The sequence below is a fragment of the Homo sapiens genome, chromosome 12 (assembly GCF_000001405.40).
Source record: "Homo sapiens chromosome 12, GRCh38.p14 Primary Assembly".
Classification (NCBI taxonomy): domain Eukaryota; kingdom Metazoa; phylum Chordata; class Mammalia; order Primates; family Hominidae; genus Homo; species Homo sapiens.
The window spans coordinates 3,670,556-3,684,661 of record NC_000012.12 but is presented as its reverse complement, the minus strand read 5'-3'; the positions used below and the strand labels follow the sequence as shown (position 1 = coordinate 3,684,661).

The window sequence follows — 14,106 nt, the reverse complement described above, 5'->3', positions numbered from 1 at the left end:
CTGCACTCTAAACTTGCTGACTCACGCAGGATGTAAACATTCTACCTCGGTCTATCTTTGACCAAAGCACAGCCATATTCCTTACACAATGTATGGAGGCATTTTTTATTGAAACGACTGGTGAGGGAAGTGCTGCTGGCGTTTAGCAGGCAAAGGCTAGGGATGCTGCTACATATCCTGTAATACACAGGATGGTCCCTCCCCTGCCTTCCCCTCCACTACCCCCTTAACCAAAAATTGTCCATTCCAAAATGTCGGTAGTGCCAAGGTTGAGAAACTGTGGCCTATACCACGTAATCAGCCCAAGCCAAGCACATCAAGGTGCAAAGCAGGATAAAGGTTGATCCTGCCCTCCCACCTCCCACTCTCGTCCTAGAGAGATTTGGTATAGCTGAACTGTACCACAGGGAAGAGGGTGGTTGGTGCTGGAATGGGGGTCTGAAAAGAATGCTGTGATTGCCCCAAAAGGAGGGACAGTGTAATTCTGGACATAAAAAATGGATATCCTCTGATTTTTTCCTCAATAAAAATGTCATGGAAGCATGTTTGAAGCTGTGCAACCATACACTTTAAGCTACATGGGGTATGTTACTGGGCTGGTGACTAGGAAGGTAAAGGAGCCTGGCTGGAGTGCAACAAAAGACATCACTTTCCCGTGGCTCTGGGGCATGAACTCTCAGTACTGCTGCTGTAGATGCCTCATGTTCTAGGTTCTGGAAGGTTGCCAGTCACTATGAGTCTTGCTGAGAATTAGCAGTTGGGCTGGTCAGGTTCTGGAGTGTGTGAGGTCTAGACCAGCACTCTGTACATAGGAGCTCAGGGTCTCCTGCCATTGCTCTTAGTCAAGCGCTTATCTATGCCTTCCTTCAACACTTATCTAAATAGTCCATGTTTGTCAGCATTGGGCTAGATCCTGGGGACACAACAGTGCCTAACGAATGAGGTCCCTGTTCTCAGAGCACTGAGGGAGCAGACGTTCATCAATGAGTCACATCTATCAGTATATAAAATGCTAATTGGGAAAGATTTATGAATGAGAGAAAGGTAGTTTGGGGAGCTTGTATAACCTGACCTAACCTGGGGAGGTGCAAAGGCCTTACGGAGGAAGTGACGCAGGAGCTGAGAGTGAAGAAAGAGTGAGGCTGGTGTTTAAAGGAGCCAAGGAGTTCTCAAGAGCTCCCAGGGCCATGGGCAGTACGAATAGGAAGCTGAGTTCCTCCTCATGCCTCTCTTTTTCCCTGGCCCACCCTTCCAGGTGTGTGAAAAGCTGTGCGTGCCACAGGATCTCTGGAAGGCTGGGTCTTGGTGCTGGCAAGAGAGACTTTGTGTTCTGATTTTGGTGGTGCTGGTAGGTGGGTAGGTGTGGGAGGTAATGAAGGTGAGGGAATAACAGAATGAATGCCCTGGAGAACTATTAGACAGTTGCTCAAGCCCTGGATGGAAAATCAGTTCTTTTCCCAGCTGTGGTCTGCACTGTGACTTTAGGCTAATCTCAGAGCCTCACAGGCCTATTGCACAGTGGAATAAATAATCTTGCTCCCCTCCACCCTGCTTATCTCACTTAGTTAAAAATGTAGGCCAGGTCCAGTGGCTCAAGCCTGTAATCCCAGCACTTTGGGAGGCGAGGCCAAGGCAGGTGGATCACAAGGTCAGGAGTTCAAGACCAGCCTGGCCAAGATGGTGAAACCCTGTCTCTACTAAAAATACAAAAATTAACTGGGTGTGGTGGTGGGCGTTTGTAGTCCCAGCTACCCAGGAGGCTGTGGCAGGAGAATCACTTGAACCCGGGAGGCGGAGGTTGCAGTGAGCTGAGATCACATTACTCTGCTGGGTGACAGAGCGAGACTCTGTCTCAAAAAAAAAAAAAGTAATAATAAAAATAATAAAAATAATGTAAACAGTACCAGGGGACCATACCAGAATAAGCTGGTTTTCTGTGGCTCTGTAGGCCCTGAGCAGAGCGATAAATAAGAGATAATTATGGTTATTAAGACTAAAAGATTTTTCAAGGAGGGCCAACAAAACAAGGTGAAAGAATCAGGTGTAGTGAAGAATCAGGTATAGAATCAGTTGCAGAGAAGGCTGAAGAAGCACTCAGCGCTGACTTGCCAGCACTTGAGTAGTAAGAATTACTTGGAACCTATAATATTGCTTTCCCCATCTTTGCTGACAATGGGAGGAGGAAACTGACTTGAGATGTAGACAAGAACTGGGATTAGACAACAGGGGGATTTGGGGTTCGAAGTGCTGCTGGATTCAGGAATGGTGCCTAAGGTGAGCTGTGAACTAGCCTCTCCTGGTTCATGCTAACATGAGAAAAGTGTGTGGGGTGTTTGAGTGAAAGGCATGTTGAGGGTCCCGTTGATCTCTGGAATTTTCTTGCAGCTCATTTCTTGCTCCAGCCCAGTGCGAGAGACCACATTTTGAATCAGATCCAGCAATCCTAGTCTGAGGGTGGGGAAGGAGGAAGGATAATCCAAAGGAAGGACTGGAATGTGAGCGTGACAGGAGCTTGCGCTTTTACCCTACCTCAGGTGTGATGCTTCTTATTTCCAATGATGCTAATAAAATCCCTGCTTGCAAAATTGACTCTCTCCTCACCCGTGTTCTCCTACTGTAGCTTTTGAGACAGCTGGTTTATGGATTGTTGATAAGTCAGAGATTCTGCTGAATGCTAAGCAGATATACTTCCAGAATCTTTGCACACTCTCTCTCACTCTCCTTCCTTTTCTGAAAAGCCCATTCATATTTAATTCAATTCTTCTAAATGGCTTCCACATCAGCCTGTCTTCCCACTTTATAATGCATCATAGTCTCCCTTAATGCATGTACCTGCCAAATTAAGCTTTATGGCTTATCAGCTAGAACTGCCATAGGATCAAGCCAAGTATTCTTGCCAATTATGTTATGGGCTTTCACACCTGCCAGCTCTTTTTTATTGTTGAGGTTGGTATATACCTTTCTTCTTACAAAGCCCCGCATTCATTGTTTTCAGCTGTCAGTCACTTCCACACTGGCAATTTCGCACGGTTACCGCTTAGGTAACTGGGAGGAAGGGAGAGGATCGGCTGAGATATAACTCTCTGGGGAGTTCTCATTTGGAGACCTAGATTATTTGGGTATGAGGGTACACTTGCTTCATCTATGCAAGTTAGCCTTGGCTTGGGGCCATTGCACATCGGGCAGAAGGCCAGAAGGGAGCAGCAACAGCTCAGCTGCTTTGCTCTTGGGCCTATTAATTGTTCTCTGCCCTTCCCTCCTTATGAGGTCTGAGTCTGCTCTAGACTCAAATCCAGCGATAACCTCCTCACACTATCTTGTCCAGTCCCCCTTTAACACACAAATACTCTTGGGGCCTTGATACCTTAAGCCAATGGCAGTTGAGATCTTATTAGGAATTCCTTACCAGTCAGCAGGGAGCTGGAGTGGAACCTGGACTCGGGGCCTGGGTGTGGGTCACTCAGAGGTAGGAAGGGGGATTATCCCATATCCCCTCAGAGCTCAAGCACCAAAATGTGTGTCCACAGACACTTACAAATGCAGTGCTGAGGCAATGGGACACCAGGGGCCTCCAGCAGGAGAGGCCTCAAGTAAGTGACCCGCACCCGCATCGTGGTACGGGAGAGGAAAGGGGGCTTAGGGAGAGCAGGGAAGACAGGGTTTGAAGCCTGGCTCTGCCACGTACTTCCTTGAGGGGCCTCAGTGGGCCATGAGTCTCTCTCTCTCTCTGCCTCCCTACTACTTTATATTGAATGCTTTCTGTATGCAGGCACTGTTATATGCTTTACATTCATGATTGCATTCAACTTTACAGCACCATGCTGTGTGAGTATTATCCTGAAAGTATTTGGTCCTGTACAGTTTGAGTCCTTTACAGATGTTGAGAGTGCTGGCTTTGGAATCAGAGCTGGATTTGACTCCTGGCTATGTCATTACTAGCCATGTGACTTTGGAGCAGGTAATTTCACCTCAAACTTCATCTGTAAAACAGAGATAATAGTGCCTAGCTCAGAGTGTTGTCATGGGAATTAAATGCAGATAGATAAATAAATGCATATTTACATATTTGTTTATTTATAAATCACCTAGCAAATGGCCTAGTACATTCGTAGGCACCCAATCAATGGTAGTTGTGCTAACATGCAAAGGAGGAGAGGGATGGTGAAGCAGTCTGGATGCAGAAGCTTTCTACTGGCTTTTGTAGGACTGGGCCGAACTCTAGACACTTTCTGGCAGAAGGCTCTGCAGTCCCAGGTCACCTCCCCCACCAGTGAGTGTCAGTGTTAACCAGTACACTCTGGGTTGTTTTCAGAGGCTGCATAAGGAGCTACCGCTCAGCCTGGAGGAACTGGAGGATGTGTTTGATGCCCTGGATGCTGATGGCAATGGCTATCTGACCCCACAGGAGTTCACTACTGGATTTAGTAAGTTCTGATGGGTGCTGGGGACCTCAGGGTTATGGGTCTACCTAACACTGTATAAGGTGCATTCCTGTCCCTTGTAGACCTGGGGGGCAGGTAGTAAAGCTTTCCTGCCCTCCTTTCAGGGACCTGGAGCTCAAGGTCTCCAGGCTCTAGATTGCTTGGGCCTCCTCACATGCCCGTCTCAACTGCTTACATTGCCGCTTGCTCAGTGCCCACTGCACTGCCATTACCAAGCTCCCTCCCACTGGGACTGGCAAGGGAGATGGACGGAAGCTCTGCAGAAGCCATAGCATAAAAGGGGGAGCTGTGATGAGATTTGCAGCCTCTCCTTTTCTGCCTTCATAGAAAAATGGCCAAAAGGTGGGACAACTGGATGGCTCATTCCAACCCAAGTCTGGCTGAATTTTCCAGGTTGAGGGATAACAGCTATCAGAGGAATTTCTAGAAGGTTTGAACAGACTAGACATTCTCAAGGTAACCAGGAGGAAGAAGAATCGAGATCTATGAACAATATAAAGAAACCAGACACACTATCCTATCAGATACATCAAAAGCCATATATCTGCCTTATGTGTGGGGCCATATAATTTTCTTGTAAGTATCTGATGCCTTTCCTGACCTTCAGGAGCTTCTAATTGACTTGGGAGGATAAGACAGACTGCTGTAACACTGGACAGTATGAGTATGGAGGAAGTACACTGGAAACTGTTAAGGAGCTTGTAGATGTGAAGTCTAGTGATGCTAGCGGGAGGATGACTAGGATGACAATAGGAGCCTCTGCAGTCAGGGTGCTGGAATGCAGTGCAGGGAAAGGCCTTGTTGCTTAAAGAAGAAATCAACGGAGATGCGTTCTAAGCCAGATGTTAAGGGACTGAGAACCACAAAGGAGACACCGTATCCGTCTTACATTCTGCCATTCCCAGATTCTAGCATCACTGATGGGGTGTTTGTGGAAGTGGAAAAGTCACAGAATCTGGAACGTGTCCACGGACCCATGTCCATGGATCTTTGCTGGAGGGGCTTTCCCTTCCCTTTCCTTCTCTCAGATGAACCTTCAATGATTCCTGGCAGGTGAGAAAGCTGAGCTCTTCCTGGATGGGTATGGTCTAATTCGGATCCTTGTGCCCTGCACCCCCCAGGTCACTTCTTCTTCAGCCAGAATAACCCAAGTCAGGAAGATGCAGGTGAACAGGTGGCCCAGCGCCATGAAGAGAAGGTGTATCTGTCCAGAGGGGATGAGGATCTGGGCGACATGGGCGAAGATGAGGAAGCCCAGTTCCGGATGCTGATGGACAGACTTGGAGCCCAAAAGGTGTTGGAAGAGTAAGTGGTGACAGTGATTTGTAGAACGGAGACCAGCCTGGTAGGAACCTCTTCCTGTGTCCATTCAACAATTAACATTTGTTAACCATGTGGTGCTGGTCCCTGCACTGGAATGCAGTGCAGGTAAAGGCCCGCTGGTTCTGCCAGTGGGGGCCTGTCCTTTGTGATGACCTGGCTGTGTGTTGGGCTCTGTCTCTGCTGTTTACATTTTTTTTTCTTTAGGAATCATTCCTATTCTCCTTCTCTCCCACCCCCTCTACCTTCCTCACTCCTGGCCATGCATTATCCCCCAGTCCTTGGCTCAGCCTTGCTCCTCATGAGGCACTCACACATCAGAGGTCTGTACCATGCTCTCAGGGTTTTTCATGGAGTTCTCCCTAAGGCTTCCTATCACCATCAGCTCCCCAGCATCTTTACCTCTCCTGGGTCTCTAGAGCTACGGTGCCTCCCAGCTGCCCCAGCTGTGGGTGCCTTCCTGGCCAAAACCCATCATGTGGAAGCATTTGCACACGGTATCCTCGGCAAACCAGGCTTGTGCAGGAAGCCAAGGTGGGAAATGAAGCAGTTTTTAGCAGGCCACTACTTGGAAAATTGTAGATGGCTGAGATCTCAAACAAAACATAACTACCCCTCCACCATTTTTTTTCCTAAAATGTGCTTTGGAATAGACACAGGGATCTAAGCCCTGACATTGAAGTAAAGTAAAATAAAATAAGGAAAATGTGGTGTTACAGCTAGTAGAAACCAAACAGAGGGCCTGAAAAGCATGTAATACCTTCTGCCCCTTTAGCCTTTGCCTTTGGCCTTTTTGTTTTGGGGTCCTTAGGTCTTGGGTTAGATGTATGTTTCCTGTAGTGTGGGAATGCCCTACTGATTACAGCTGACATTTCCTGAGCTTGGGAAGAGAAGGGGCTAGGGTGGAAAATGATAAAAAGGAGACAAGAGAGAAGAGGCCTATATACGATTTGCAGGCCGAAGCTCTGTGAATTTTTCAGCAAACAATTTGGTAGACTGTGGCAGAACTGGGAAAGGCTGGCGAAAGTGTGTTCCAGGCAAGAAAGGGATAGGCAAGTGCCTGGGGAAGATCCTGGTGGGGGCGCTACACAGGAAGTGGAACTCAAGACCAGCAGCAGTAGCAGGTTTGCTGAAGGCCTGGAAGGGGCTGCAGCAGGTGTCGACCACAGAAGGTGTAGCTGGCAGGTGGAAGGGGCACAGGTGGGTGGGAAGCTCATTAGTCATACACCTGACCCAGCTTCTCCAAGGACAACAGGCCAGAGCACAGAGACCATTCCTGGTGACAGTGTGACACCTCCTCCTGGAGAAGGGGGAAGGAGAAGGCAGTGCAGGTGAGCTGAGGCACCGTAACGGAAGGAAGGGGCCTCTCTGCCCAGCCCTCACTGCAGGGTAGCAGCCTTACTGGCAAGGTTCTCAATTAGAGTCCACCAGACGTGACTCTGAGGACCTATAGTAAGGCAGTGCAGAACTGAGCCAAAATGAGATGTCCCGAAGAAGAGGAGGTTTTGTGGAGGTTTCAAGAGTGGTCTGTAAAAGATGATACACAGAAGATGGTGACCAGCCACTTCCATCCTCACTGAAGTGGGCTTAGATTGCAGCATGAGGGAAACATTCACGGCTGTGAGACCTCAGATAGGGAAATAGAAAAGGCTATGAATATTTGAGGGCTCTTTAAAGATTTTGCTCACCAAAATGATTTGTGTGTTGTTCTGGAAGCAGTGAAATGGATTGATAAACCTCCCAGAATCCTTTCTAGCCTATACTCCCATATCCTCCCAGGAGGGGTGGCCTTGGTGTGTTCTAGAAGTTCGAGACTGGGCATCTGCACTTTGACTTTTCTTGGTGGTCCGATTGGCTAAGCGATTTGGCAGCTTAGTGAGCTTTGGCTTGTTTTTCATCAAAAGTTGAAAGACTTGTCCCTTCTCCAGAAATCTGGGGCAAGTTGTTGTTGCCATGACTAAGTAGTTCAAAGAGTGTTGGAAGAGGAGCAGGTGGGTCTGCAAATCTCACTGGGGACTTGAGCTCAGTTGGCTCCATCAGGAACCTGGCAGGTGTGGACAGACAGACCTGGGCTGGCAAGGTGAACCTTGATTTTACAATGCATTTACTTCATGGTGGCGTGTCTCAGTCCATTTGGTTTGCTGTAATACCTGCCATAGATGTGGTACTTTATATAAATAACCAAAATTTATTTCTGGCAGTTCTGGAAGCTAGGAAGTTCAAGATCAAGGTGCCAGCAGATTTGCTCTCTGATGAGGTCACATTCCCTCATTCACAGACAGTTGTCTTCTCACTGTGTCCTCATATGGCAGGAAGGGTGAATGAGCTTCCTCTGGCCTCTTTTATAAGGGCACTAGTGCCATTCGTGAGGGCTCTGCCTTCATGATCTAATCACCTCTCAAAGTCCTCATCTTCTGGCACCATCATGTTGGGGTTAGGATTTAAACATATGAATTTGTAGGAGATATAAACATTCACACCACAGCAGGGAACAACCTATAACAGGGATGGGAGGTCACCATGGTGTCTCTCTGAGACCCTCTTATCTCTGAACCCTTTGCCACATCTAAATTTTACCTATAGGATGAAATAAGACCCCCACAACATGCTGTGTGTGTGTTGTGGGGCTGGGAGGAATGGAACTCATTCTGAGAAACAGAGAGGTTCCTTACCTCCTTTTCTCCCATTTCCCAGATTCACCCATGACATCCAGTACAGTGCAAGGTTTACAACAGATCATAATAAATACTTGTTGAGTTAATAAGGAAATGGGTGGGTGGATGGATGGATGGATGGATGGTCTAAATAAGTACGCGGATGTTTGGATGGGATAGAAGAAAGAATTGGTGGAAGTGATGGAGCAAGGAAAGGAGGGAGAGAGGGATGAAGTGTTAGAGATGACCAGATAACTGATCAGAGGTGGGCCTATTTCTCAGTGGTCCTCTTCTCTGCTGGGTGCAGAGAGTCATGTCCATTTCCCAAGAGCGTTGCTAGCATGGCACTATTGAATATCCCTTCTGAATAAGGTTTCTAAAATATAATGCTTAATAACGCAAGCACAAAGGATTTTATTCCTTCTCCTGAGGGTTCCTTGTCAGAGCTATCCTCAGATCTTCTGTTTCTGGAATTTAATGGAAGACAAGTCACATTTACGTTTCTGTTTTTGTGGTTTTTGTCTTAAAGTGATTTATTAGTGAGGTACTCCCAGAAGAAACTGGCAAGGGATTTGGGGAAGTGGGACAGGGAAAGGAAGTAAAACAAATAATGGCGTAATTTTAGGAAGAGTCCTGGTTCTCCAGGGGTATTATTTATGTAGTCATAATAGTATAAACATTTATTTAATATCATATTTGGGAGTTAGCATACAGAGTTTTAAAACAATACTAATTATAGAACACAGTGTCAATGGCACTAGTCCCATTTGTGAGGGCTCTGCCTTCATGATCTAATCACCTCTCAAAGGCCTCACCTACTGATGCCATCATGTTGGGGGTTAGGATTTAAACATATGAATTTGTAGGAGATATAAACATTCACACCACAGCAGGGAGCAAGCTGCCACAGGGATGGGAGGTCACCACCCATTTCTCAGTGGGCCTCTTCTCTGCAGGGTGCAGAGAGTAATGTCTATACCACAGGGGCATTGCTAGCATGACACTAACAAATATCACTTCCGAAGAAAATTTCTAAAATATAATGCTTGTTATACAAGCACAGATAATTTTATTCTTTATCCTGAGGATTCCTGGGGAGCCAACAGGAATCTGTTGGTGGCAGATTGTCAAGGTGCAGATGACTGTAATGGACAAGCAAATTTTGGAAAGAGCTCAAGAGAAGTATAGGCATACAGATAACTTTATCCTCATAAAACGAGGGTCATAAGCGATTTTCCATAATCAGGTTAAATTAATTAAATGTGAAATATACATTACATAAAGTCTCAAAGTTTAACAGAGTAAAAAATCAAAATGTAATTATGTTGAAAGGATGGAAGGAGGTGAAGGACTTATATTTTCAATAGCTGGAAACTTGAAAGATTAAGACACAGAGTGAATATTTAAGTAACAAAAGACTTTGAGAAGACAATGAACTGAGCTAGTTATTACATCTTGTTATATAGATGTGAAAAAAGTGTTGGAAAATACATATGTGCCCATTAATTTAAAAAAATCAAAAGCCTGATTGTTTGCGGGATAAGATTTATATTTATTCTCTACTTTGCTAGAATAAAGTTTAATTGATAATTTATAATAAACTAGCCTGTGAAATTTCACTTGAACTCTACTGTTTATTATTATATAACTTTCAAACTTGATGCTATAACACTCTACTGTCTGCTAGCTGTGAGAAATTATTAACTTTTATTGAATTAAAACCTATCCTCTTTCAGATTTATGTTTAACTTAGCTTGATCATTGGCCACAGATTTTTTAGTTTCCCCAGAAAGGGAGAACAGGGTCCACCATGTGTGTCTCCTCCTCATTCCCTCCCTGGGTGTCAGCCTGAGCCCCTGTATCTCTGTCACTGAGCTGTGTACACACGTGCCTCTGTGCCTTTGTCTATTGGCCTCTGGGTCTCCCAAGTCTCTCTCGCCTTGTCTTTCTGTGTGTGCGCATCTTTCAGACTTGCTCCTTCCCTTCTTTTTGCCTGTCAGTCATCCCTAGTGCCACTAGGCCACAGTGGGGTGCTGCATATTCTCTTCCCTTCCTGCAGTGACAATTGCTTTCTGCCATCCATCACATGGCACGTCTTTACCTCTCAGCAGTGAGGACCATCCTTCCTGGGGGCAACGAGCTCTCTGCTTTAGCTCCATAGTGTGTGTCCTTAAACGCACTGGGCTCCTGTCCTCCTGTCTTCTTCCTGGCATTTGGAGATGCACCAGAGCATGTTGCTGTGCACGCCCAGCCCCACGAGCCCGTCGTGAAGGCCACGGGAGAACAGAAGCAGCAGAGCGAGGTGGGGAAGGAGGCCAACACCGGAGTCAGACAGCCCTGAGCTGGACCCCTGACTCCATCAGTGACTGCTGGGTGATCTTAGACAGCTCACTCCACCTCTCTTCACCTGCTTCGTCATCTGTAAATGGGGTAATTGCAGCTCCTGCCTTGTAGGGTTATTGTGAGGACGAAATGAGCTGATATCCTTGAAGCTCCTCACATGCAGCAAGCATTCGGTCCACGTTAGCTACTGTCATCTTTATAATGATTCTGACGGTACTGTTTCTGGCTGTCAGTTTCCTGTCTGGGAACCTCTGTATTTCCCGTGAAGCCTCATCTCCACACTTCCACATGAGCGTCCCTTCTCTTGCAGTGAAAGTGATGTCAAGCAGCTCTGGTTGCAGCTGAAGAAGGAGGAACCTCATTTACTGTCCAACTTTGAAGACTTCCTGACCAGAATCATCTCCCAGCTCCAAGAAGCCCATGAGGAGAAGAATGAACTGGAGTGTGCCCTAAAAAGGTGGGTACCCCAGTGTCAGCCGCTTTCTGTAACTATGTGTGAAAAAGAGAGACACACGGTGCACTTTCTCTTAGATCTTCTGCCAAAACATCGTGCAATGCCTCCTTTTGCTGTCTGCCAAAGTGGGGACCAGGCCCTGTGTCTGTCACGATATATGTATTTTTAAGCTCTCCGTCACCTTTTTAAGCTATATGGTAGGCACTATTCTAAATACTTTTTATACACTAGCTTATTTAGTTCTCACCACAACGCTTTGAAGGAGGGACTGGTTATCATTTTGCACATTTATTATCTGCACATTTTGCAGGCGGAGGGTTGGAAACCCAGAAAGGTTAAGTAGTACACCCCAGAAGGCATAGCTTGTGAACAGTAGAGCCAGGACTGGGAGTGAGCTAGCCAGGTGCCTGTGACCAGAAGAAAAATCACTCTGCTTGCCTCCAGGCAGTAAGACCCCAGCATACTGGGCCATCCCCCAGGGCCAGATCAGCCCACTTTGCAGAGGTGGCGTGTTTGGTAAGGTGACCTATAGCCCTGCTGAATGTCCCTCCTCCTGGCCGCTCTCTCCCGTCACGGCCTCATGTCTCTTCGTCTACCCTATTTGCCTCCAAGACCTCTCCAGGAGACAGGACCAAGCATTGTTAGAAACAACCCAGAGTCCTCCTCACTCACAGCCCTGAAGAAGCTGCTGAAGAACTGAACCAGAGTCAGAACAGGCAGGTATATCACAAAACTGGGGCAAGCCCACTAGACACCAGTCCCTTCATGAGAATTAATGCATGGTTATGGGCACTGTGCTGTTCATAGTCCTTTAACAAACATTTACAGCCATGAGCTCGCATTTTATGAACATGGACTTAGATGTGGTATGACTAGGGATGGTTCATAACCCTGAAGGTGAGGCTACAACACAGGGCTGGGTTTGAGTAGAGCTTGGAAGCATATACAGAGGAGGCCCTGCCCCATGCTTCTGCCATGAAATCTTGTACACACCCAGAGATTTGCTCATTTTCTGTAGGAAGCCTCAACAATCCCTTGGCTATGCAGTTCCACAGACCACCTGCTCCTCCATTCAGATACTTCCAGCAAAGCCTGGAAGGCAGTTTCAGAGTTTGTGCTGAAATAGTCTTAGAGCAAACATGCAGCCTCTAATTGAGCAAGATCACCATGTGTCTTGCTGTGTAGATCATCTATTTACACATTATTCTGAGTCCCGGCTCCTTTTCGTCTTGTGTCTCCCTGACCTTAACTCTAAAAATAACTTGTTGAGGTCCATTGGGTATACACAGATCTGGGGAGAAAGGACTTTTAGGACTCTGCATTATGAGGAAGCTGAGGACAAGTATCACTGGAGGAAACATAGTTTGGCTGGAGAACTGTTAAGAACATTCTGGGGAGAGGCTCCCAAAGCTCAGAGAAGGGAAGGATTAAAGGGTATATTTTTATGTAGCCATTACCTAATTAAGAATCAGACAGAACTGAATTTGATTCTTGAGTCTGCCATTTACTAGCTGTGCAACTTAGGACAAGTTACCTAACCTCTCTGAGTCTCAGCTTCCTTATCTGTAAGATAGGGACAGTATCCATCTCACAGAGTTTTCAGTATTAAATGAAATAATGCATGTAAGTATTTGGAACAGTGCTGGCACATAAGTATTCAATGAATGTCAAAATAATAATTATTAGTATTTTAAATAAGTATCTTTGTTAATCTTAGAGGATTTGTCTGGCTGAAGTGGAGAGTTTGAGCCTGAATATAATCAGAGGCTAAGTTTAAGGATCCCTGTATCCTTCCAGACAACAGTGTAGAGACTTGCTGTTGAAAGTGTAGTCCATGGACCCGCAACATTGGCGTCACCTGGAAACATCTTAGGAATGCAGAGTCTTGCCCCCAGCCCCACCGAATCTGCATTTTAGCAGGGTGTCCAGGTGCTTAGTGTGTAACTTTGGGAAGTGGGAGGCTCGGAATCAGGAGTTTCTGGTTTTGAGTCATGTGTGGCTTTGCAACCAGCTAGCTCTGTGACTGCTCACATTTCTTGGCTTCTCTTGAGCCTTGGTTTTCCTATCTATAAAATAAGGGGGCTAGATTAGTGGCTGACCCCACTTCACCCTTTCTCCTCTCTGACCCCAGCACTGATCACCTGGAGGAGCCTCAGCAAAAGTTAAGTGGTCTCTCCCAGAGAGGAAGGCATTCTTCTGTTCTCTAAGGAGATAATTGCAGTCTGAAACAGTGGGCAATTACCCAGCCTTAGCCTGGCATCTCATCTGCAGGACCTCCTCTGCTGGCCTGCATTTCTGCAGGAAGAAACAAGTACCCCTGACTTGCTGGAGAGCTGCTTAGCCCTGGCATCCATCTTTAAGGGCCTGTATTAGTGGTTTGTCCTCATTTAGTAATTGTGCTCGAAACGTTGTTGAGATAAAAGTCAAGCCACTCTTGGCTGCATGTGCAAAACCAGCTCAGCCAAAGGTTCCAGCCTCTCCATGCCCATCCTCAGTCAGTATCCCTGCCAGCCATGCTTGCTCTGGGGTCAGCTGATCAAGGCCCACTCCCTGCTAGGGAACTGTGTTGGGATTGGGGACTCACTGAACTCTTTGGCCAGTCCCATTCCAGAGGTATTCTCTGGATGCAGAACCAGAGAACTGCAGACTGTTTTGAGCAGGGCACTGAAATAGGAGGCAGGAAGGACTGGAGCTCTTGCCCAGCCACTGGCACTTACCAGCTGTGTAACCTCAGGCAACTTGCATTACCTCTCTGGGCATCAGTTTCCTTATTGGCAACATCGGATGTTTTCTACTAGAGCCTCTTTTAGTCTCTTCTATTTTTTAAAAAAAGGTGGGTCACACCTTGCTGGTGGACCTATGTATAAAGGCACTTGTAACTCAGACATCAAAC

General features: G+C 46.6%; 1 protein-coding gene across 16 annotated transcripts in view; it reads left to right on the top strand.

Annotated features, from left to right (window-relative positions):
- Positions 1–14,106, top strand: part of CRACR2A (calcium release activated channel regulator 2A) — a 137,782-nt gene that overhangs the window by 68,448 nt on the left and 55,228 nt on the right. For 12 of the 16 annotated variants that reach the window (XM_011521034.4, NM_001144958.2, XM_006719021.4 and 9 more), the window contains 3 exons: positions 4,313–4,424; positions 5,564–5,747; positions 11,070–11,216. In XM_011521034.4, the coding sequence (XP_011519336.1) occupies positions 4,313–4,424; positions 5,564–5,747; positions 11,070–11,216 (443 nt within the window). Of the gene's footprint in view, positions 1–2,385; positions 2,535–4,312; positions 4,425–5,563; positions 5,748–11,069; positions 11,217–11,844; positions 11,934–14,106 lie in introns of those variants that run through there. The other 4 variants (XM_047429738.1, XM_047429737.1, XM_011521038.3 and 1 more) reach the window with 3 other exon arrangements.